General features: G+C 41.0%; 1 protein-coding gene across 4 annotated transcripts in view, besides 2 other annotated features; it reads left to right on the forward strand.

The window, feature by feature from the left end:
• IL23R (interleukin 23 receptor) overlaps positions 1-26,459 on the forward strand; it is a 127,267-nt gene that overhangs the window by 68,759 nt on the left and 32,049 nt on the right. For all 4 annotated transcript variants that reach the window (XM_011540790.4, XM_011540791.4, XM_047447227.1 and 1 more), the window contains exon 7: positions 12,179-12,335. In XM_011540790.4, the coding sequence (XP_011539092.1) occupies positions 12,179-12,335 (157 nt within the window). The remainder of the gene's footprint in view (positions 1-12,178; positions 12,336-26,459) is intronic.
• Positions 7,970-8,109: an enhancer, noted in NCBI's record as "active region_1170". NCBI's record gives its function as "activates an Ori minimal core promoter by ATAC-STARR-seq in GM12878 lymphoblastoid cells {active_cell/tissue: GM12878}" and the evidence as "EXISTENCE:reporter gene assay evidence [ECO:0000049][PMID:35858748]".
• Positions 21,590-21,769: an enhancer, noted in NCBI's record as "active region_1171". NCBI's record gives its function as "activates an Ori minimal core promoter by ATAC-STARR-seq in GM12878 lymphoblastoid cells {active_cell/tissue: GM12878}" and the evidence as "EXISTENCE:reporter gene assay evidence [ECO:0000049][PMID:35858748]".

Consider the following 26,459-nt stretch of genomic DNA (forward strand, 5'->3'; position numbering starts at 1 on the left):
TTGCCATCTTTATGTCCATGAGTACCTGATATGATTTGGCTGCATCCCCACCAAATCGCAACTTGAATTGTGTCTCCCAGAATTCCCAGGTGTTGTGGGAGGGACCCAGGGGGAGGTAATTGAATCATGGAGGCCAGTCTTTCCCACACTAGTCTCGTGATAGTGAATAAGTCTCACGAGATCTGATGCGTTTATCAGAGGTTTCCGCTTTTGCTTCTTCCTCATTTTCTCTTGCCACCACTAAGTAAGAAGAGCCTTTTGCCTCCCACCATGATTCTGAGGCCTTACCAGCCATGTGGAACTGTAAGTCCAATTAAACCTCTTTTTCTTCCTAGTCTTGGGTATGTCTTTATCATTAGCATGAAAATGGATTAATACAGTAAATTGGTACCAGTAGAGTGGGGCATTGCTTAAAAGATACCCGAAAATGTGGAAGCAACTTTGGAACTGGGTAATAGGCAGAAATTGGAACAGTTTGAAGGGCTCAGAAGAAGACAGGAAAATGTGGGAAATTTGGAACTTCCTGGAGACTTGTTGAATGGCTTTGCCCAAAATGCTGATAGCAATATGGACAATAAAATCTAGGCTGGGGTGGTCTCAGATGGAGATGAGGAACTTGTTAGGAACTGGAGGAAAGGTGACTCTTGTTATGTTTTAGCAAAGAGACTGGCAGCATTTTGCCCCTGCCCTAGAGATCTGTGGAACTTTGAACTCGAAAGATGATTTAGGGTGTCTGGTAGAAGAAATTTCTACGCAGCAAAGCATTCAAGTGGTGATTTGGGTACTATTAAAGGCATTCAGTTTTAAAAGGGAAACAGAACATAAAAGTTCAGAAAATTTGTGGCCTGACTATGCAATAGAAAAGAAAAACCCATTCTGGGGGGGAGAAATTCAAGCCAGCTGCAGAAGTTTGCACAAGTAGCAAGGAGCCTAATGTTAATTCCCTAGACCATGGGGAAAATGTCTCCAGGCCACATCAGAGACCTTTACAGCAGCCCCTCCCATCACGGGCTTGGAGGCCCAGGAGAAAAAAGTGGTTTCATGGGCTGGGACCAGGGTCACTGTGCTGTGTGCAGCTTAGGGACTTGGTGCCCTGTGTCCCAGCTGCTCCAACCATGGCTCAAAGGGCCAACATCCAGCTTGGGCTGTGGCTTCAGAAGGTGGAAGCCCCAAGCTTTGACAGCTTCCACATGGTGTTGAGCCTGCGGGTACACAGAAGTCAGAATTGAGGTTTGGGAACCTCCACCTAGATTTCAGAAGATGTATGGAAATGCCTGGATGGCCAGGTGAAAGTTTGCTGCAGGGACGGGGCCCTCATGGAGAACCTCTGGTAGGGCAGTGTGGAAGCAAAATGTGGGGTCTGAGCCTCCACACAGAGTCCCTAGTGGGGCATTGCCTAGTGGAGCTGTGAGAAGAGGGCCACCATCCTCCAGATTCCAGAATGGTAGATCCACCAACAGCTTGAACCGTGCACCTGGAAAAGTTGCAGACACTCAATACCAGCCCATGAAAGCAGCTGGGAGGGAGACTGTACCCTGCAAAGTCACAGGGTTGGAGCTGCCCAAGACCATGGGAACCCACCTCTTTTATCAGCATAACCTGGATGAGAGACATGGAATAAAAGAAGATCATTTGGGAGCTTTAAAGTTGCCCTGCTGGATTTTGGACTTGCATGGGCGCTGTAACCCCTTTGTTTTGGCCAATTTCTCCCATTTGGAATGGCTGTATTACCTAATACCTGTACCCTCATTGTATCTAGGAAGTAACTAACTTGCTTTTGATTTTATAGGCTCATAGGTGGAAGGGACTTGCCTTGTCTCAGATGAGACTTTGGACTGTGGACTTTTGGGTTAATGCTGAAATGAGTTATGACTTTGGGGGACAATTGGGAAGGCATAGTTGGTTTTGAAATGTGAGGACACGAATTTGGAGGGGCCAGGGATGGAATGACATGGTTTTGCTGTGCCCCCATCAAATCTCAACTTGAATTGTATCTCCCAGAATTCCCACATGTTGTGGGAGGGAGCCAGGGGAGGTAATTGAATCCTGGGAGCCCGTCTTTCCCATACTATTCTCATGATAGTGAATAAGTCTCATGAGATCTGATGCATTTATCAGGGGTTTCCGCTTTTGCTTTTTCCTCATTTTCTCTTGCTGCTGCCATGTTAAGTAGTGCCTTTCACCACCCATCATCATTCTGAGGCCTCTCCAGCCATATGGAGCTATAAGTCCAATTAAACCTCTTTTTCTTCCCAGTCTCCAGTGTGTCTTTATCAACAGCATGAAAACAGACTAATGCAGTACCCAGTGTTTAGCTCCCACTCATAAGTGAGAACATGTGGTATTTGATTTTCTGTTCCTGTGTTAATTCACTTAGGAAAACCACTCTAGCTTTAATAATGATTATTGTATGCTTGCAAACAGAGAACTGTTTCCTCAAACGATCCACTTGCCTTTTATTAGTTGCTAAATAGACAAAGCTCCGACTAAGAGGAATCTAATTAGCTATTTGTAATTCAGTGTCTCCTAGGGTGAAATTTATATCAGTGATCATGGATAAAAAATTTAAGTATTCTGTGCTGAAATTTGACAGGCATCCAGGGAAACAAAAATTGTTCGGAAAGGAGAACTAAGATGTATGAATGTTTCTTTTTAAGTGAAAAGTGTATAGTTCAGAGTGTAATATTTATTACCAGTATAGGCCTGAGTCTTAGGTGAGCTTAAAGATGATGATAATCCGAGTAAAAATGAGTTTAAAAAAGTGAACGTCTAGAGAAACAAACTAACCATCCTTAAATGCCAAGGTTAAATTATCTAGTGTCTTAAGAAAGGCATAGCTGCAAGGTTCATTAATAAAGTCACATCAGATAACAGCACCTGGGAACAACGTAATAAAACTCAGTAATTTCAGCTGTGGAGGAACACTAGCCTGATTTAGGAAGAAGTTCCAATTTTGATATATTTTAAAAGAAATGCTATTTGATTATTTTTAAGCGTAACAAACTGCCATTTAGTCCAAATAATTAAGAAATAGTTTCTGGCCTTTTTTTTTCCCTTCCGATACTTTTTTAAGGTTTTTTTTTTAGAGATAGACTCTCACTTCATCACCCAGGCTGAAGTTCAGTGGTGCAATCATAGCTCACTGCAGCCACAACCTCTTGGGCTCAAGTGATCCTCCTGCCTTAGCCTCCCAAGTAGCTGGGACTACAGTCACTCATCACTATGCCTGGCTAATTTATTTTTATTTTTATTTTTTTGTAGATTCTTGCCATGTTGCCCAGGCCGGTCTTGAACTAGCCTCAAATAATCCTCCCCCTGGCTTTCTCGTCAGCCTCCCAAAGTGCTAGGATTACAAGCATGAGCCACAGCACCTGGCCTGGCTTTTCTTAATTAACAGTTATGTATCAGCTGTGAAATTACCAGTTTTCAGCGCGTTAAATAAAGTGATATGTATTTAACACTAAAATACATTAAACATAACTTAATTTTTCTTTGGTGCTAAGCATGATTCCAAATCCTTTTGCTGTTTAAGACTGATTCTGAGTATCGGTTTTGCTATAGAGTAATATATCTTAAAAGTATCAAGAAGATGGGGGCAAAACTATACTAATTTTATTATATACCCTAAAAATTACTCATTAAAAGTAAATTCCTTACGTCAACTTGTTTACCTTTGTTCACTCAAATCATAAATGTGAACTTTATGGTTGTTTGCATACACTTAAATGGGATCCACGTTCTGCATCATTTGATTGATAATCAAGTGAAGATCCTGCTGAATTCCTTTTGCATATGCAGAATTTAGATTAAATTTCAAAACAACACAAATACAATTCTCAAGTCCTAGATTCTGAATTAATGGGGTTTTATCCTAATAAGACACCTGGGGTCCTTGTATAGTATCACAGTCATAGAATGATATTAAAGAATACTGAGTTTCTTAGGCTGGGTGCAGTGGCTCATGCCTGTAATCCCAGCACTTTGGGAGGCCAAGGCAGGCGGATCACCTGAGCTCAGGGATTGAAGACCAGACTGGCCATCATGGCAAAACCCCGTCTCTACTGAAAATACAAAAAATTTAGCCAAGCCTGGTGGTGTGTGCCTGTAATCCCAGCTACTCAGAAGGCTGAGGCAAGAGAATCGCTTGAATCTGGGAGGTGGAGGTTGCAATGAGCCAAGATGGAGCCACTGCACTCCAGCCTGGGTGACAGAGTGACTCTGTCTCCAGAGGAAAAAAAAAAAAAGGATACCAAATCCTCTTACTTCATGCAAATAGGAGTATGTAATAGACTAGAAAAAGTGTTTAGAAAATAGAAAGGAATTATATTATCAGTGTCTCTGAATAAGTTTTCAGAAGCCAACTGTTTTCTGGTTGAAACTCTTATTCTCTGCTCCCCCTGGTGGTGCTACATAGGCCATCTTGGTAACAGGTACATTTGAGCTCACTTTTCAAAACCTTCTCTTTATCAGAAGTGGCAAATAGAGTAGAAAGAATATTTGTTATCTCATATGCTCTTCATAACAATCCTTTGTGATAGGTAGTATTAGCTCCATTATATAAATAGGGAAATAGAGTTTGAAAGAAGTCAAGCCAGATTTTTTTGAACTTATACCGTCAGTAACTAAGTGCCTCTCACAGACTCTACATCACTTTAAAGACCAAATAAATATTTAGAAAATGAAAAGACAGGTTTCAATCCAAAGCCACTTCTGTCTCCTCCACCATTATTTTTTTCAGAAAGTTTTTTTAAACTCATGACTCCCTCAGTCAATCTACCACGTTTCCTTTAAACACAACCACTAACACAGAAAAAGTGAATTACCATTTCTATCCAGATCACTCAAGCCAAGTCACTGTAGCCAGAATGAAGCTTTGTTTACATTTGCTACTGTCAATTTCATCTGGGTCATGCATGAAGTGTTGTCTCTGCATGTCTGTAGGAAGACAGGAAAGTCAGAGTCAAGAGGAGTGGGAGGATACCAAAGATTACAGGTCTCTTCTACCACTTTAGCTCCGTGGTGGCATTGCCTCCATTAGATATTGCTGGAGGTGGGGGGTTTACTTCAAAGCGACAGGAAAGCCTTGTGGCCAAGAGCACAGGCTCTAGAGTTCAAAGCCTGGCTCTGCTACTTTCTAGTCATGCAATCTTTTTTTTTTTTTTCCTTTTGAGACAGGGTCTTGCTCTACTGCCCAGGCTGGAGCGCAGTGGCGCAATCTCAGCTCACTGCAGCCTTGACCTCCTGGACTCAAGCAATCCTCCTGCCTCAGTCTCCCAAGTAGCTGACCACAGGAGAGTGCCACCATGCCCAGCTAAATTTTAAAAATTTTTCTGTAGAGACAGGGTTGTGTCATGTTGCCCAGGCTAGTGTCAAGGTCTCTAACTGCTGAGCTCAAGCAACCATCCCGCCTCAGCCTCCCAAAGTGCTGGTATTACAGGCACGAGCCACTGCTCCTGGCTAAGTCATGCAATCTTTCTTTTTCTTTTTTTTTCTTTTTAGACAGAGTCTCACTGTGTTGCCCAGGCTGGAGTGCAGTGGCGTGATCTTGGCTCACTGCAACCTCTGCTTCCCGGGTTCAAGCGATTCTCCTGACTCAGCCTCCCTAGTAGCTGGGATTACAGGCATCGGGCACCACGTCTGGCTTCTTTTTGTATTTTTAGTAGAGATGGGGTTTCACCACGTTGGCCAGGCTGATCCCAAGTGATCTGCCCATCTCGGCCTCCCAAAATGCTGAGATTACAGGTGCGAGCCACTGCGCCCGGCCTAGTCATGCAATCTTGAGCATGTTTCTTATCTTCTCTGTGCCTCGTTATTCCCATACATAACATGGGGATAAGATAAGCCCTTATATCATGTGTTTGTTGTGGGAAAGGGGATCCAATGATGTAAGAAGTTAGCTACAAGCCTGGAATAGTGTAATTGTTCACTAAATGCTAGCTAGTAATGTTACTCTCTAGCCTCTAGGGGAGCCATGCAGCAGGGATAGTAGAGCAAAGGAATCCAACTGAAAGTCACAGTATTGAGGGTGCTTTTCAGCCCCTTTAGCTAAGGTACATACAGACTGTGAAGTATCTAAGGGAATTAGGCTGACGAGGCAAGGAGAATATGTGCCACGCAGCAGTCCATGTTTCAGGCAATGATGGATGGCATATATGATGGTGGTCCCATAAACTTATCATGCAGCTGAAAAATTTCTGTCACCTAGTGATTTATATTACAATTGCCTGCAGGATTCAGTACAGTAACATGCTTTATAGGTTTGTAGCCTAGAAGCAACAGGCTATACCATATAGCCTAGGTGTGTAGTAGGCTATACCACCCAGGTTTGTGTAATTACAATCTATGATGTTCGTACAATGATGAAATCGCTTAATGATGCATTTCTCAGAATGTATCCCTGTCGTTAAGTGACACATGACTCTAGTTATCTCTTGAAAGATGGTTCCAGGTCAAAGCTTCAGATTTTGTCTCTGGAGACACAGCTGCCTCTGGGAGAACATTTACAAACATCTTGCTCCCACCTCATTTACCTCTCTCCCTTCTGAATTCCCTAGAAGTCTAGCTTAGACCAGGTTGGAATATATACAGATTTTAGTAAAGGCTCAGAGATAGCAAGAAGAAAATAAATCTCAGCTGGGAGGGGTGATACAAGCCTATATTCAGCTACCTGAGAGACTGAGGCAGGAAGATCACTTGAGCCAGGGTTTTGAGGCTGTAATGCACTATGATCCCACCAGGGATAGCCACTGCACTGCAGCCGGGGCAATACAGTGAGACCCCCATCTCTATAAAAAGAAAGAAAATAAACATCTCAGAGAAAAACCACCTACTATGTAATCTTGATTACAAAATATAACTAGCTTTTCAAAGTTGGTTTGAGACCTGTCTTTTCATTTTCTAAATATTTATGTGGTCTTTAAAGTGATGTAGAGTCTGTGAGAGGCACTCAGTTACTGATGGTATAAGTTCAAAAAAATCTGGCTTGACCTCTTTCAAACTCTGTTTCCCTATTTATATAATGGAGCTAATACTACCTGTCACAAAGGATTGTTATGAAGACCATATGAGATAACAAATATTCTTTCAGTTCCATTTGCCACTTCTGACAAAGAGAAGGTTTTGAAAAGTGAGCTCAAATGTACCTGTTACCAAGATGGCCTATGTAGCACCACCAGGGGGAGCAGAGAATGAGAGTTTCAACCAGAAAACAGTTGGTTTCTGAAAACTTATTCAGAGACACTGGTAATATAATTCCTTTCTATTTTCTAAACATTTTTCTAGTCTATTACATACTCCTATTTACATGAAATAAGAGGGATTGGTATATCGGCTATCTACTGCTACGATTGAGGGAAGAGAGAGACCCTCTCATATTGTTTTATATTTTTTTATACTCAGTACCTGTTTTAAGAAAAAACAACAAGGAAGTAAAAGCAAAGACAGGCAACCCAGCACCAGGCCCGAAACCAGGACTGGGCCTGCCTGGCCAAAACCCAGTAGTTAAAAATCAACTCATAACTTAGAAAGCGATGTTATTCATAGATTCCAGACATTGTATAGAAGAACATTGTGAAACTCCCTGCCCTGTTTTGTTTCTCTCTGACCACTGGTGCATGCAGCCTCTGTCACGTACCGCCTGCTTGCTCAAATCAATCACGACCCTTTCATGTGAAATCTGTAGTGTTGTGAGCCCTTTAAAAGGACAGAAATTGTGCATTCGGGGAGCTCGGATTTTAAGGCGGTAGATTGCCGATGCTCCCAGCTGAATAAAGCCCTTCCTTCTATAACTCGGTGTCTGAGAGGTTTTGTCTGCGGCTCGTCCTGCTACACAATAATGTGTAACAAACTGCCACAAAAGCTGAAGGGACATATAACAATAAACATTTATTTCTCAATGTCAGTGGGGTCCAGCTGGTCTAAGGTGAGCTTTGCTGGAATTGGGCATGTGTTTGCAGCTCAGCTGGCTCACTCCTATGTCTTTGCATGAGCTCTCCTCTACATGTCTCCTGGTCCTCTTTCTGCCATCAACAGGCTAGCCTGGGCATGTCCTTATGGTGATGGCAGAGGGCAAGAGTACCTAAGGCCCAATCTTTCCAGTGTCTTTCAATCCTCTGCTTATATCAGGCTTACCAATGTCTGTTGGCTCAAAGCAAGCTACATGGACAAACCAGAGCCAGAATGGGAGAACGTTCAAAGCTACATGGTAAAGGGCCAGGATATGGGGCTGGGAAATTACCTGGGCATTATTGCAATCCACCTCAAAATGTCATCAAGGCTCTCCACCTGCTGCTGGAACCAGTTCGTGTGAGGAGAGGAAGATGGTAGCATCTTTCCAAACAATAAAGACCAAGAACCTTGGCAGTCTTCATCCTACTCTAGCATTTGACACTGTTGACCACCTTGTCCTGAAAATGTCTCTCCTCTTGGTTTTCCCATTTCAAGAATGTGTTAGTCTTCTATCAATATTTCTGGATGCCCTTTCCTTTGTAAATTATTTTTTCTGCCAATTCCCTAAACATTGACATTCCCTTCATACCTACCATCTCACTGTCTCCTCTCTTTCTTACTCCTTTCACCTATTCCCAAGGCCTCAGCTACACCTGTATGTAGGCTAGAAACTGGAGCCCTCCCAACTCTCATGAAAGTCAGACCTATATTTCTAACTATTTGTTTGTATCTTTATGGGCTGTCTCCTAGGCCCCTCAAATTCATGTCAAAAATTGAGCTCCCAGTTGCGAACGGCAATCCACACCTACTTCCGTATACTCTGTTTCAGGGCATTTGCCACATTGTATATACTTGCCTGTTTACACTTCTATTTCTCTACTCTTTAACTGTGAACTCATGGAAGGCAGAGATGTGCCATGATCATTTTTTGCATCTCCATTGATTTTTATAATGTCAAGTTCATGTGGATAATATTTTGAAACATTAGCTATTACTATTATTATTATTATTTGTCTAATGGTGTCCAACTTTAGTGACAGAGGCAGGGAAATCTCAGCTATGTGTTCAAGTAAGTGGATTATTGGTGACTCATTTCTCTAATTAAGCTACACCAGGGTCTCAGCAAACTTTTTATTCAAGGGCCAAATGGTAAACATTTTAGGCTTTGCAGAACATAAGATTTCTGTCTCAACTACTCAACTCTGTGTTTGTAGCGTGAAAGCAGTCACAGACAATTATGTAAATGAATGGGCATAGTCTGTTCCAATTAAAATTTCATTTTTGGACACTGAAATTTGAATTTCACATAATTTCCATACATCATGAAATAGTCTTTTTTTAAAAAAAATTTCTTTCAACCATTTAAAAGTGAGAAAACCATTCTTAACTTAGGCTGCACAAAACCAAGTATTTATTCTTTTCTTGAAAGGGCTGATAGAACAGCATACAGATAGCAAAGACAAATCCTTGGCTTCGGCATTTCCAAGTCTGAAGGTTGGTATAAGACAGAAAATGTGGAAAAATGTATGATTAGTCACAAATAAGTTTCCCCATCACCACCCCATTTCCCTCCTCTACCAAACACTAGATAAAAATTACTTGGGCAGAAAGGGGAGGAGGTTGTAGGGTAAAGGGAGAAACCAAGGGTTTAGACACTGGTGGGTTACCAAGGACCCTCTCATCCAGTGCCATGCCCCATACTGATAGTTGGGGAAGGTAGGAATTATAGAACTCTAACTAGGTTGGAGATTTTTTCTTCCCTCCACCCAAGGATGTTCCCAGGAACTTATATTTAACATAAGAAAAGAGAGATCTCAAACTGAAGAATATTACGTTTCAATGACCCCTAACCTTCAGAGTTGAGGCTCTAAGTAGAAATGGACTTACTTCAAAATTTCTTGCACTCTTGAAATTATACTATTTACAGAGGCACTCAATTAAGTCCAGCTCTTTCAATGTTCATTTTAGCCTCCAAAGATATCATCCTGAGGTATCATGTTGTACTTGCAGGGCCCTAAGCAGCCACCTGGTTTGCCTCATGGTTTAAACAACTGATAACAGTTCCATAACGTTCTTCTTACTATTTTGGAATTCTGGCTGTACTTTACGGTATTTCTTTCCTTTAAGAGGACTTATCTATAAATGTAATGGCAGCAAACATATTGGAGACTAACAACTTCCTTACAAGAGACACTAATATGAAGCAGAGTGCATTTGAGAGTCAAATCTTTGGCACAGTAAGTAAAATTTCTCTAGATCCCAGGAGACCTCAGACACTCTCCAGTTATATTAACATTGCAGAAAATTTCCAGGGCCATGAATAGAGACATGGCTTATGGAAACTCTGAAAGATATCTTTCATGCAGAGTTTGAAAAATATCATTCAGAGTTTCCATAAGCCATGTCTCAATAGACAAAACTATTCTAGGGCAGATGACATCCCCCAAACAAATATTTTCATGAATTTTACATTTTCAGTGCATTGCAAGTTTTAAGGATTAATGTTAAGGTTGGGTTTTAAATGGAAGCATCCCTGAATGAGGTTGATACCTCATTCTTTTTTTTTTTTAATCTCAATCGTTGTAACTTTCTCTTTCATGAGTATCTGATAACTGCTTTCACCTAGTTGTTGCATAAATGCATTTCTAGACATATTGACATATTTTATGTCTGCCTTTCAATCATGCTTCACTTTTTCCAGTAAATCAGTTACTAGAACATACTGAAGATGCTGTACAAATGCCTTGGTTTCTTTCTGCCAACTGAAACAGCTTGTTTGGGGCTCATTTTTCATTACGTTTTATAGCAGGGTGTAGTGCTCCAGGGAAAAAAGGATTTTTGTGTTTATCCCTCAGCTATTTTCTTTATCCTCCATTGGATTTCTCAGTTCAACTTTCTTAATATTTTAATTTTTCTCTGACACATACACATATATATATATATACATACATATACATATATACATATATACACATATATGCATATGTGTGTGTGTGTGTGTGTGTGTGTGTGTGTGTATATATATATATATGTATGTATTATTGGGCCTTGTAGAATCTGCAATAACCTGCAATGAGGACCAACTTACAGCTTAGCTTATAGGTATTTTTTTCTAAAAGTCACCATTAGCGAGTAAAATTATTTCATCATTCAGGAAGAATTATTGATCTAAATATCCAGCTGCAGGGGAGAGGGGAATTCAGACAATTGCTATCAGCTACCATTTCTCCACCCCATTAAAAGAGTATATTCCAAAATTAAGAATATATTCCAAAATTAAGAATATATTCCAAAATTAAGGCTGGGTATGGTGGCTCACTCCTGTAATCTCAACACTTTGGGAGGCCAAGGCAGAGAGATGACTTGTGCCCAGGAGACCAGCCTGGGCAATATAATGAGAACTTATCTCTACAGAAAAATTTAAAAATTATCCAATCATGGTAGTGCATGCCTGTAGTCCCAGCTACTTGGGAGGCTGAGGCAGGAGGATCACTTCAGCCCAGGAGGAGGTGGAGGTTGCAGTGAGCTGTGATCGAGCCACTGCACTCCACAGTCCAGCCTGGGCAACAGAGTGGGACCCTATCTAGAAAAAAAATAAAATAAAAAATATATATATACACACACACACATATAAATAAATAAATATATATACACACATAAATAAATATATATACACATATATATAATATCACATTTGGACTTTCTGGAGATTTGAGACAGTTGTCAAACATAAAGCAGTATGGGCTGGGCACGGTGGCTCACACCTGTAATCCCAGCACTTTGGGAGGCCAAGGTGGGCGGATCACTTGAGGTCAAAAATTCAAGACCAGCCTGGCCAACATGATGATACCCCATCTTTACTAAAAATACAAAAAAGTAGCCAGGTGTTGTAGTGCATGACTGTAATCCCAGTTACTTGGGAGGCTGAGGCAGAAGAATCGCTTGAACCCGGGAGGCGGAGGTTGCAGTGAACTGAGATCGAGCCACCGCACTCCAGCCTGGGCAATAGAGCGAGACTCCATCTCAAAAAAAGCAGTGTGTGTTTCAGTTTTAATGTATTTCAGAGACAGTATTTGATTATGTACGGCCACGTTTTATATAAAGAACACTTTGTTTTCCTAGAGTCTAGAAGACAGCTTGGAACATAATAGGTGTTCCATACATTTCTGCTAAATAAAATAGTTGTTTTAAAAGCACACCACATTTTATTATTGTTACCCATCCATTTTAGGTTAAAGAATTTGACACCAATTTTACATATGTGCAACAGTCAGAATTCTACTTGGAGCCAAACATTAAGTACGTATTTCAAGTGAGATGTCAAGAAACAGGCAAAAGGTACTGGCAGCCTTGGAGTTCACTGTTTTTTCATAAAACACCTGAAACAGGTGAGTGTACTTATATATTTTATTCTGTTGGGCTTTTCTTTATATATCTTTTCTGCTGAGCACAGTGGCTCACACCTATAATTCCAGCACTTTGAGAGGCCAAGGCAGGAAGATTGCTTGAGCCTAGGAGTTTGAGACTGGCCTGGGCAACATAGTGAGACCCTAGTCTGTACAGAAAAATAATAATTATTATTAGCCTGGGTGGTAGAATGCATTTGTAGTCGCAGCTACTTGGGAAGCTGAGGTAGTAGGATTGCGTGAGCCCGGGAGTTTGATGCTGCAGTGAGCTATGATCATCCCACTGCTCTCTAGCCTGGAGGAAAGACCAAGACCCTGTTTCCTAAAAAGTTTAAAACAGCCAGGTGCAGTGGCTTATGTCTGTAATCCCAGCACTTTGGGAGGCCAAGGTGGGTGGATTACCTTAGGTCAGGACTTCAAGACCTCCTCGGCCGACATGGTGAAACCCTGTCTCTACTAAAAATACGAAAATTAGCTGGGCATGGTGGCAGGTGCCTGTAATCTCAGCTACTCGGAAGGCTGAGGCAGGAAAATTGCTTGAACCCAAGAAGTGGAGGTTGCAGTGAACTGAGATTGTACCACCGCACTCCAGCCTGGCCAAGAGAGAGAGACTTGGTCTCAAAAAAAAATAAAAATAAAAATAATAATAATAAATAAGTTAAAAACAAAATAAAGCTACAAGATATTTTTTTTCTCTTTACCTTTGACCAAAATTGACAAAACTATTCTAGGGCAGATGATAACATTTAAATTGTCATTTTGCTTTGATTTTCTTAAGGCTTACTACAATTTATATAATGGTTCTCAAACATTCCTGGGTATAAAAACCATCTGGGAGGCTGGGTACGCTGGTTTACACCTGTAATCCCAGCACTTTGGGAGACCAAGGCAGAAAGATTGCTTGAGCCCAGGAGTTCAAGACCAGACTGGACAAGATAGGGAGACCCCATCTCTACCAAAAATACAAATAAAATTACCCAGGCATGGTGGCCCACGCCCATAGTCCCAGCTACTTGGGGACTACAGGAAGAATTATTGATCTAAACAGGCTTCAATCATAGCTCACTGAAGCCTCTGCCTCCTGGGCTCAAGCAATCCTCCTGCCTCAGCCTCCCAAGTGGCTCAGACTACAGATGCGGTCCACCATGCTAGCTGAGGCAGGAGGATCACTTGAACCTGGGAGGTCGAGAATGCAGTGAGCCACGTTCATGCCACTGAACTCTAGCCTGGGTGACATCCTGGGCAATTGTGAGCCATACAATAAGCTAAGAACTTGTTTTGAAAAATATTATCTGGGTGTGGTGGCTCAAGCCTGTAATCCCAGCACTTTCAGAGGCGGAGGCAGTTGGATCACTTGAGCCCAGGAGCTTGAGACCAGCCTGGCCAACGTGGCAAAATCCCATCTCTACTGAAAATACAAAAATTAGCTGGGCATGGCGGTACATGCCTGTAATCCCAGCTATTCAGGAGTCTGAGGCAGGAAAATGGCTTGAACCCAGGAGACAGAGGTTGGAGTGAGCCGAGATCGCGCCACTGCACTCCAGCCTGGGTGACAGAGTGAGACTCCATCTCAGAAAATTTTATTAAGAACATATTCTCCTAAAAGAGACACAAAACAATCATATCAATAAACGTTATCTACTATATGTAAAGCAATCAGAAAGTTAAAACTCCTAAACACAGAATTCTCTTCTCCTCAACAGGATTTAGCTGATTTATTGTTTATCTTTAGATATTTTCCTGCTTCTAATATTATTAGTTTAATTTTATATTCATTTATTCATGCCATTCAATAACATCTTAGCCAAATAGACTTCAGTTGAAGCACATAATAAAATGAATCTATTGTAATTGTAATAATACTCCTAATGGCCCCATTAACCTAAAGATGTCTCCCTACTGTAGGTACCTTATACACTAGATTTAACATTTTCTTTTCAGAACTGAAGGACTTTATTATAATCCCAGTATGAATAGCATCATTATTATAACATTCTGGAATTGTGTTTTATGTTTTCAAGGCACTTTGACATACATTATAAATATTGATGGCTGCCAAATTAGTAGAGGGAGCAAAGAGCATGACTTGCTGCAAAGCTCTTCTGGTATCTCCTACTGCCCAAATCTTAGAAATACTTTGGCCAGGTGCAGTGGCTCATGCCTGTAATCCCAGCACATTGGGAAATGGAGGCAGGTGGATTGCTTGAGCCTAGGAGTTCAAACCCAGCCTGGGCAATATAGTGAGACTCTGCTTCTATTTAAAAAAAATAAAAATAAATAGAAATTAAATTTAAAAATGTTAAAATGAAGAAACAACTTATTAGGGAATCCTTTTCTCTTTCTTTCTTTCTTTCTTTTTTTTTTTTTTTTTTTTTTTTTTTTGACAGTCTTGCTCTCTTGCTCTTTTGCCCAGCCTGAGGTACAGTGGTGTGATCTCGGCTCACTGCAACCTCCACCTCCTGGGTTCAAGAGATTCTTGTGCCTCAGCCTACCGAGTAGCTGGGATTACAGGCACCCACCACTATGCCTGGCTAATTTTTGTATTTTTAATAGAGGCGGGGTTTCACCATGGTGGGCAGGCTGGTCTCGAACTCACGACCTCAGGTGATCCGCCCGCTTTGGCCTCCCAAAGTGCTGGGATTACAGGCGTGAGCCATGGCACCCAGCCAGGGAATTATTTTCAGTATCAGTTCTCTTTTTTAAAAGTTAGTTTTTAATTGAAGGTATTCTGTCAAGTTGATACTGTTAACAATTCGTGGACTTTAGATGCCATTTTATAATAGTCAGAATTTAGTTGATAACCCTTTTTTTTAATGAACTCTATAACTGCCTAGCAAGATTATGCAAATTGATAACTACCATTTATCATTTACGAAGTACTCCTGTGTATAAGCTTGTTTGATTATGATGTCAGCCATATTTGGTAGTGTAATTAGCGCTACTTTACAAAAGCGGAAACTGGGCATGACTTACTAAATAGTACATTGCTGGTGGGTAATGACACCTAAACTATAACAAAACTTTTCTTATTCAAAATATTGAACTGCTTGGCTAGGTCAGTTGGTAGAGTATGAGACTTTTAATCCCAGTGTGAAAATACTGTGCATTTTCCCCACCATCCCTCAGCAATTTCATTCTTTAATTTCAGGGAAGCAGAGGAGCAACTTACTTAAGTATTCTAAGTATAGGACTACAAATGTTCTTCTTTAAACATAAAAGTCTTGGCGAGGTGTGGTGGCTCATGCCTGTAACCCCAGCACTTTAAGAGGCCAAGGCGAGTGGATCACCTAAGGTCAGGAGTTTAAGACCACCCTGGCCAACATGGTGAAACCCCGTCTCTACTAAAAATACAAAAATTAACTGGGTGTGGTGGCAGGTGCCTGTAATCCCAGCTACTAGGGAGGCTGAGGCAGGAGAATCTCTTGAACTTGAGAGGCGGAGGTTGCAGTGAGCCAAGATCCTGCCACTGCACTCCAGCCTGGGTGACAGAGCGAGACTCTGTCTCTAAATAAATAAATAAATAAAGTAAAATAAAGATAAAAGTCTTAAGCTTCAGGTAGAAGGAAATAGGAACACCACAGTTTAAATTTAAGGTCTGTTTCCTGAGGAGAAAAATCACTTAAGAGACAAAAATACCAATTAAAATTAAGTATCCCTGAAAACTTGGATTTATTAAAGTTTAACATGTTAGCTAAGAGAAACCATAGACTGTTCTCTTGGTACAAATTCCCTTCTAAGACACATTACATGAGAAACAGTAAAAGTGTGTTAGGGAAAGTGCTCATGTTAAATCTCTTTGAAAATGTACCTTTTTTTCTGTGTGTAAAAGCAATGTAAGTTTACTGTAGTATGCAACCTAAAAACATCCACTATTTACATTTATTTAATTTAATACTAGTTTTTCCTATGCATTTTTTTAATGTTTGGGGCTATGATGTATATACTATTTTATATCCTGATTTTCTTACTTAATCTACCCTGTTAAGTTTTTAAAAACTGATTTCATGGCTGCACGGCATTCTCGTTTATGTATGTACTATAATTTATTTAGGCATTTCCCTACCTAAATAACATCTAGGTCATTTCCATTTTATCCATTATCAATAAACTTCTTTGCATAGCTTTGTATATAAATGGTCTTTATTCCTTTAGTTCTAAAGAAGAATTATTGCATCAAGAGTTAAGCACCTTTTAAGATGCTGATGTATGTTGTCGAACTGCTTTTTACCGAATCTTTAATATTGATTGCTTTTTAAAAAGGGACCTATGAAAAGACAGTCATTCACAAAATACTCATTTAGCCTCTACCATGTGCCAGGCATTTTTAGATCCTTGCAGAACCTCAGTGAGCAAAGGAGACAAAATTCCCTGCCTTGGACAAGTTTCCTTCTGGAGAAGACACACAGTAAAAATCAAGCATAATAATTACATAAATTACATTGCATCATACATAAAGATGTAAATAAAAGCAGTAAGAATCAGACTTCACAGCTGAAGTATGAATTGCCTCACAAATGAAAAAATAAAATGATATCATTTCTGTAATTATTTATTTAACCAACTTGTTTGATAATGAGGTTTTTTGGCCAGCCAAACTTTTCCAGTGCTTAAAGGTTTATTTATGAAGAAACACAGCCCAGGCAGTAATGCCTCTTCCAAGCAGGACTTTTCTGAATTAGTCTCTAAGATTCTGACATGTGTATTACTGAATTGATTCATCTCAATACAATGTGTTTGCAAAATTCTGCCCAGCTAAGACCAGAGGACAAATCCTGAAGTGGGTATGGCTTGTCCTGCAGCCTCGGCATTCTTATTCTTTTCTGTTGCTTTCCCTCTGAATAGTGCCTGGCTTGGCCATTAAAAACCTGGTCTCAAAAATGAACCAAACCAACTCACTTATAATCAACTTTAATGACTTATTCTCTTTTTCTTACTTAGAGTATTTAGACTTTAATAGGACAAACAAAGCCTTATACTGAAAAAGAAAATCAATCCTCCAGAATACCCATTTATTCTATCTGATATAATAGCAAGAGGCCAATTAACAGACTGAATCCCAGGGTGACTTCAGGATAATAAATAATAATAGCTAACATTTATTGGATGCTTACTAAGTGTTGGGCATTTTGATAAGCATTTTACATATGAATTGTTCTTTATTTATCACTGCAGCTCTATAAAAGGAGTGTAATTATTATCCCAGTTGCACAGATGAAACCATATGGCCCAAGCAGTTTTGTCAAACATTACAAGGCTGGTAAACAGTAGAGCCAGGGTCTAACTCAGGCTATGGGATTCCAGCACCCATGTTATTTATAGCTCTGCTAGTCTCCTTCCTAAGAGACCTAGGAGGGTCCTGCATCCGCCTGTGAAACAAAATCATTCTCTACACATTAGCTAGTAATAAAACTATGCCAACAGAGCTTCATTTCTAATGCAGTGTTTGTTATGGAAATGCAAACGCATGAGAAAAGAACCAGAAGATACTACTGACTACTGCTACTTTGGCTTGAATACAAGATGTGGAAGCAGATTTGCAGTAGATGATGAGAATGAAACCATAGTACTATAGGAGGTTTCTGATAGGATAGGTAAGGAAGGGGCAGTCTGAGATGAGGATAAAGGATAGGTAAAAAAGGCAGCCTTAGCCAAGACAGGACCATCATGGGCAATTCATCATGTGCTTTACCAGCTAATTATGGGCTATCTAGAAAGCACTGTTTCTCATAGTAGGGTCTGTGGACAATCTACATTAAGAATGCTTGGGCACTTTTTTTTTTTTTGATACAGTCTCGCTCTGTCACCCAGGCTAGAGTGTAGTGCACCATCTCAGATCACTGCAACCTCCGCCTCCTGGTTCAAACAATTCTCCTGCCTCAGCCTCTCAAGTAGCTGGGACTACAGACATCCACCACACCTGGCTATTTTTTTTTGCATTTTTAGTAGAGACAGGGTTTCGTCATGTTGGCCAGGCTGGTCTCGAACTCCTGACCTCAAATGATCCCCCTGCCTTGGCCTCCCAGAGTGCTGGGATTACAAGCACGAGCCACTGTGCCTGGCCTGAATGCTTGGGCACTTCTTAAAGTACAGATTCCTGAGCCCTTTGCCAAGCGATACTTCTGCAGTGAAGCATAAAATCCATTGCTGTAGAGGTCAGACACACTCTTTAAGAGAAGGAAGTGTCATCATAAAAGACAACATAGGGAATGGACAGAAAATGTGGACAGAAAGGCAGAGTGGATATGATTGCCCAAGCCATTGAAACGGGAGAGTTCCCTGACTCCTGTCGCATATCATGTGGCTCATCTATTCTGCCAAGGCACATGCTCAAACCCGTTACAGGAGGGGGAGCACACAGATGGACAGGTGCGCAGGAGCTGGGGTGAGCACCTTGGGGCTCCAGCCCCACAGTAGCATCTAGGGGTGGATGCCTGTGACTCCCAAAGCCCAAGTGGGAATGTGATACAGTTCACTATTTTAGCTTTGCTGTCTGCAGACAGCTTAACTGTTAACCAGCTCAGTGCCCTCTTGGTACCCAGGTCCTTGTCCAGTGTCCAGGAAGAATCAGGTCACACACAGATTTGAAGGATGAATGTGGGGGTTTTATTGAGTGGTGGAGGTGGCTCTTAGCGGGATAGATAGGGAGCTGGAAGGGGGATAGAGTGGGAGGATGATCTTCCCCTGGAGTTGGCTGTCCAGCGGCCGATCTCCTCTCTGATCGTCCCCAGGGGAACTTCTCTCAGCATTCAGATGCTCCTTTTCTTCTGTCCTTCTCTGCCGAGCCATTCTGCCATTCTTCTGCTCTTCTATTTATCTCTCTGTCTGCTTCTGGAACCTGGGGTCTGGAGTTTATGAGGGTACAGGATAGCGGGGCATAGCAGGCCAAAAGGCAACTTTTGAGCACGAAAACAAGAATGCCTGCTTCTATTTAGGGCTATGGGTTTCCAAGCTTGAGGGTGGGACCTCTGCCAGGGAACCACCCTCATTTATTCAGTATTTTCCTGTTTGCTGTTTGTATCACCATCGCCTTAGTAGTAGTGGTTTGGGTGACAGAAAAGGGTGGGCATGTGAGAATCTTAGGCCATTATCTCTAGTACTATCTGGTCACCTCTCTGTTTCCTATTTCTCCTGAGTCACTGACCACCCCAGCCCACCTGGGCATTACAGGAACCCCCCAAAGCACAGGATATAGGACTGTTGTCGTAATTAACCATCACATCACACATGACCCTCTTCTGCCTAGAACTCACCCTGTCTCTGGATGTGAGGTTTCAGCTGAGATTATGAGAACCGCTGAGAGCTGCTGAAGTTAGAGCTTCTGATCCACCAACCTTGATAGGCACTGTTATCCTGGGGTCTTTCAGCAGTGCGGAAAGAGCCCCAAAGGGGAAAAGACAATTTGTCATTGTAGAAAACCAACACTGAAAATGTATAAGTCAGTAGTCTAAATTTGCTACTACTGACTTAAAAAAGCTGAAACAACAATGGCTAGCCAGGAATCTTTTTCAATTCTGCATTGTAATATAGATCCCTTTTTAACGAAGAAAAGACACAGGTTCTATAATTCCTTTAATAACAGGTTAAAGGCTTAAGGGAAGGGCAGTCACATTTCATGATGACTAATTCACTTGCTTGAATTGCTGCTTGCCATAGAAAAGTTTCCCAGAGAACTCATATTACTCTTTTTTTTTTTTTGACAGTTTTCCAGAGGAAGGCAAGTATGAGCAAGATATTAAACAACATTTTGCTTTCCTCTCACAAAACAGTATTGGTTGTTGCACTACCAGTGACTCCTTGAAGATGCTCATTAATTTTTCAGGTTTTTAAGTGGCTAAAAGGGAAAAAGCAAATATTATGTTAACGGAACTAAATATCAGTGCTATTAAATATAATGCAAATTAGATGATGGCACACAGAATGTATTTTTCAAACATTTTATTATGTGTAATTAGAGATTTGTGAATTGTCCACATAGAGATGGGTTCTGAACTTGTAGACTCTATTGGTTACTAACCCATGTTAAACAGACACGGTGTTTCTTGAAATTCTAATCACTTTAGACTTTTCATTTGGGTTTAACTTTCTTCAGGTCCTGCCTCTGATAAACCACCAAGTTTCTGCAGAATAGGAAACAATTCAGAAGAGTTCCATAATCTCCCTGAAGTTTGCAACCTATTACTACAGAACAAAGATCTTTCTTTCTTTCTTTCTTTCTTTCTTTCTTTCTTTCTTTCTTTCTTTCTTTCTTTCTTTCTTTCTTTCTTTCTTTCTTCCTTTCTTTCTTTTCTTTCTTTCTCTTTCTTTCTTTCTTTCTCTGTCTCTCTCTTTCTTTCTTTTCTTTCTTTCTTTCTTTCTTTCTCTCTCTTTCTTTCTTTCTTTCCTTCTTTCTTTCTGTCTTTCTTTTTCCTTCCTTCCTTCCTTCCTTCCTTCCTTCCTTCCTTCCTTCCTTCCTCCCTTCTTTTTTAGACAGGGTCTCTCTCTGTCACCCAGGCTGGAGTGCAGTGGTGTGATCTCAGCTCATAAGATCTGGGCTCAAACAATCCTCTCACCTTGGCCTTTCAAGTACCTGGAACTACAGGCATGCACCACCATACCCAGCTAATTTTTTTTCTTCCTTTTTTTTTTTTTTTGTAGAGACAGGGTTTCACCATGTTTGCCAAGTTGGTCTTGAACTCCTGGACTCAAGAACTCTGCCCACCTTGGCCTCCCAAAGTGCTGGGCTTACAGGCAGGAGCCACCATGCCTGGCCTATGATTATGCTTTTTCTTGAAGTCATCATCTTCTATATTAGTTTCCTATTACTACTGTCACAAATCATCACAAACTTGAAAGCTTAAAACAACATGAATTTATTATCTTATAGTTCTGGAGGTGAGAAATCCAAAATCACAACCACTGGGCTGAAATCAGGGTGTCAATAGGGTTATGTTCCTTCTGGAGGCTACAGGACAGAATCAGTTTCATTGCTTTTTCTATATTCTAGAGGCTGCCTACATTCCTCAGCTCATGGCTCCATCCTTCATTTTCAAAGCCAGAAGCATAGCATCTTCCAATCTCTTTCTCTGACTCTCAACCTTCTCCCTTCTGCTTATAAGAACTCTTGTGATTTTACCAGATCCACCCATGTAATCTAGGATAGCCACTTCCTCTCAATTCCCTTTTGCCTTATAAGGTAACTGAGTAGAAAGAACATACTCAATTTCTCTTGCTATATAGTACTTTCACAACACAGGTCACTTCTGTGACCTCTGATTACCAACATGTGTATGGGGATTTCTCCCCCTCAGCAACAAATTATCTGGCAGATTCTTTGAGGGACACCAGCTGTGTGTCCTCCAAGTCAATTCATTCTGGCACTATCTGCCTAGACATAGTGTCAGATCCTACAACTCCCACCTCAGATGCCAGTCTCAAGTAATAGGTGGTTACCTATACTTCCATCTGATTGGCTATAAATTAGAGTTTGTTTCCTGATCTTTTTTTCAGATTTGATCAATTTGCTAGGATGCCCCACAGAACTTGGGAAAACACTTATGATTACTGGTTTATGATAAACAGCATTACAAAGGATACAGTCGAACAGCCAGATGGAAGAGATGCAGTGGGCAAGGCATGTGGGGAGGGGCATGGAGCTTCCATAAGCTTTCCAGGTGCATCACCTGCCAGGAACCTCCATGTGTTCAGCTATCCTGAAGCTCCTAGAACTTAGGCCTTTGGGGTTTTTTGTAGGCTTCATTACATAAGCATGATTGATTAAACCATTGGCCATTGGTGATCAACTTAATCTTCATCCCCTCTCCCCTCTGGGAGGTTGGGGATGGGTTGAAAAATCCCAACCTTCTAATCGTGCCTTGATCTTTCCTCTGAACAACCCCCATCCTGAAACTACATAGGGGCGGCCAGCCACTAGTCAGCTCGTTAGCATACAAAATGACCGTTACCACTTTGGGCATTCTAAGGATTTTAGGACTTGTATGCCAGAAAACCAGGATGAAGACACAATATGTACTTCGTAATATTATAGTAACCTGTTCACAGATTCCAGGGATTAGGACACGGACATCTTTATGATGCCATTATTTGTCCTACTACATCTCCCTACCTCCCCAACCACTACCACCAATTGCAGTTTTTACTAGTCAGGATGATTAGGTGTAAGCAAAATAAATCAAGGCTGGTTATCTTAAGCAGAAAGAGAATTATTAGAAAGGTAGCTGAAAATCAGTAGAAAGCCTGGCAAAATGGGCATGAACAGGATCCGAGTGAGAGCAGGACCCAGAACCACAGCCAAAATCACAGCCTAGGAAAAGTCTGGCGAGGACCCTGCAGCTGACGCTGATCACTGCCACTGCCTGCCCTGGTGCCACTGTCACTGTACCCTGGATACAGCTATGGTGCCCACATTGGATTCTAAGTGGTTTCTGGAAGCCCTATGTCAACCCTTCAACATTCACAGCCTGGGTGTTAGGGGAGGGGGCATCTGGTTGGTGAGGTTTAGGCCATTTGCTTGTAGCCCTACTGCCTCTCAGCTTTTTTAGGATGCCCACAAAGAAGTATATCCTAGTGCTGGGCAAATAAAACATGGCAAATGTCTGCTAGACTATACAGATTGGAAGATGCTATGCCTGGAGAGCAAGGGTGTACTTCTGAGGAATCTGTTGGCCACTGTGTAGACTTGGAAGCTGTCCATTCTTTCATATAGAGTTTTGCTACACTTTGACATCAGACCTTCTCTGTATGGTCCTTGTCATTTAGGAAAATTTCCTGGGTGGCTACTGCTTTTTGCCTTTTCCTCCTCTTATTCTTTCTTTTTAACAATGTAACTGCCATATGTAGATTTCTTACCTTCTCCCTACATACCAAGTACCTAAAGCCCAGGAATATAAGAAGGAAGATAAACCCTTGAATATGTCTGTGTGTACCCTGCTACCCTTATATACACCGCTGATACTATAATCCACTAAATGATTCATTGCTTGACTTGTTTTTCAAGGTGTGGTAATGAGTTTGTTCTGACACACCGTTTTCCCTGCCCTGGGCTTCTGGTGCCTATTTGATATGTTGGCATTAGTTTTGCCTTGCTAATTGACATACTCAACTCTTTACCCTTGGCCCGATAATGTTGAATTCTGACCACAGAGCTAAACTGGCCTGGCTTGGAGAAATGGCACTTAAGTGCTGTGAAACAGCTGAATTATTAAAAGGAGATGCGAAAGAGAGAAACCAAAAGGAGGTATTTGTGTTTTGAGAAAAATAGGAGGGAGGGTGGGGGCGAATCTCCAATGATTTAAAAAAAAACACATCCTTTGTCTCCTTTAATATGACTCCTCTTTCTTGAATATCTAGAACCCCTGAAAGGTCCAGAAAAGTCCATGTGTCTGCTCTAATCAAAGCCTTTATGATGCAGGCCTTGGTTACTGTGGCTTTGACATCAAGATTGGCAAGCGCAAAAGTAAATAAAGAAACCTTAGAGATGTCTATACCCTTTGGCTCAGTAATTCCTCTTGTAGAGATCTGGCCTTAAGAAATAATCAGTGGAAGGAAATTTATGTACAATGATATACATCCAAAACCTAATTATAATAGTAAGAATTTGGAACCAGTCTAAAAGTTCAACAATAGCAATAATTAGTGCTTATTAAGGTTTTATTTGTGTAAAACATGGTACTAAGTGCTTGATATGAACTGTCTCATCAAACCTCATGACCTCACTGCTTTTATCTAATTTTACAAATGAAGAAACTGAGTCACTGAGGGGTTAAGCAATTTGCCCAGGGCCATGGAACTCCATCTAGTAGAGCCAGGACTTGGACTGAGTTTCGTTTGAGTCTGCAGTTGGTGTTTGAAACCACCTAGCTATACAGTTTCTCAATAGGGGTAAGATTGAATAAATACAGTAAAACATGATGAAACATTAACTAGCCATAGCATGATGTTTTGAACAATTTTTAATAAAATGAGGAAATTTTTATTAAGTAATATTGAATAAGGCTGGGTGTGGTGGCTCACACCTGTAATTCTAGCACTTTGGGAGGCTGAGGCAGGCAGATCACCTGAGGTCAGGAGTTTCAGACCAGCCTAGCCAACACAGCAAGACCTCATCTCTACTAAAAGTACAAAAATTAGCTGGGCGTGGTAGTGTGCACCTGTAATTCCAGCTACTCAGGAGGCTGAGGCTGGAGGATAGCTTGAGCCCAGGGGGCAGAGGTTACAGTGAGCCAAGATCACACCACTGCACTCTAGCTTGGGTGATGGTGTGAGACTCTGTCTCAAAAGAAAAAAATTGAATAAAAAAGGCAAGACAAAACATTTATAAAGAGTATGATCTCCACTAGGCTACCAACATACACAAAAGACTGTTAACATTTTTTTTAAATAATAGTTTCTAGTTTGCAAACAAATATAAAATTGTATTATCTTCTCCATACCCTTCTATACTTTTCAAGCATCCTGTAATTAGCATGTATTACTTGTGTAATAAAGGAAAGTAGTCGGTTTTAAGAAGAAAATAACTCTACGCTAGAAGATTTAAAGCATCAGTGCTAAATGGGTTAGCACAGTAGGGCTTGTGGGGTCCAGAGCCCCACAAGGCCAGGCAGCCCCAACACACCATGGCGAGTCCTCAGTGGAGCAATGCTAAGTCTCATCCTGGGAGAGGCTGCTTGCAGGGCTGACTCTGCCTCCCACCCTGAGCCATCCTGCTGTGGAAGTGAGGTTATTAATTTAATGAGATCAGTGACCAGCACAAACTACATGTCAGAACTGGATGGGAATTTCCACTCTTCACCCTCTACCTAGGTGACTTTGAGCAAGTTATTTATCCTTTCTACTCTTTTGTTTCCTTATCCGTATAATGAGGATAATAATATTGTCTGTGTGATTGGGTTGTTGTGAGGATTAAATGAGAGAAAACATGTAAAGTTTAGCATGTTACCTGTGACATAATTAATACTCATTAAATGGTCACTTTAAAAGGATGACAAAACACACTTTGCCCCATGGTTGATGATATGGTTTGGCTGTGTCTCCACCCAAATCTCATCTTGAATTGTAGTTCCCATAATCCCCATGAGTCGCGGGAGGTAATTGAATGGTGGGGGCAGTTGCAGTCATGCTGTTCTTGTGATAGTAAGTTCTCATGAGATATGATGGTTTTATAAGGGGCTTTTCCCCCTTTGCTTGGCACTTATCTGGCCTGTTGTCATGTAAGACATGCCTGTTTCCCCGATCACCATGATTATAAGTTTCCTGAGGCCTCCCCAGACATGTGGAACTGTGAGTCAATTAAAATTCTCTTCTTTATAAATTTCCCAGTTTTGTCCAGGTGCGGTGCCTCACACCTGTAATCCCAGCATTTTGGGAGGCTGAAGCAGGTGGATCACCTGAGGTCAGGAGTTCGAGACCAGTCTGACCAATATGGTGAAATCCTGTCTCTACTAAAAATTCCAAAAAAAAAAAAAAAAAAAAAAAAGCCACGCGTGGTGGCATGCTCCTGTAATCCCAGCTACTTGGGAGGTTGAGACAGGAGAATTGCTAGAACCCAGGAGGCAGAAGTTGCAGTGAGCCAGGATCATGCCACTGCACTCCAGCCTGGGCAACAGAGGGAGATTCTGTCTTAAAAAAAAAAATCCGGTTTTGATTATGTCTTCATAGCAGTGTGAAAACAGACTAGTACGGTTGATGTAGAAAGAAGAGCTGAGGTGATGATTTGGCATCATCCTTAAAATACAGATGGAATACGTTATTGCTAAAACCAGGTCCTTTTGAGTGGATTTGATTAAACTAGCCTGGTGTTTTGGTAGGCCAAAAAATATAGTTGTTATGCTTTAAATTTTGTCCAACAATAAGAAACCATATTTCTCGTTTGAGATCACTCTAAATTCCCACAGGCACATTGTCTTCTTGTAAGACTAAAGTTTGGTGCCAGTGTGTACAAGTTATATAAAAATTCTTCCCAAATTAAAGATAATTTGGATTTTTTTTAGTATATTCAAGTATGTCCTGTGAGATTAATAGGCATAAGTTAATATTCTGTTGCAAGGATGGAACTGTCTCATTATGGACGTAACACCACAAACACCAAATACAGTAAGATATCATGAGGTT

The sequence above is a fragment of the Homo sapiens genome, chromosome 1, assembly GCF_000001405.40.
Source record: "Homo sapiens chromosome 1, GRCh38.p14 Primary Assembly".
In the NCBI taxonomy this organism is placed as follows: Eukaryota; Metazoa; Chordata; class Mammalia; order Primates; family Hominidae; genus Homo; species Homo sapiens.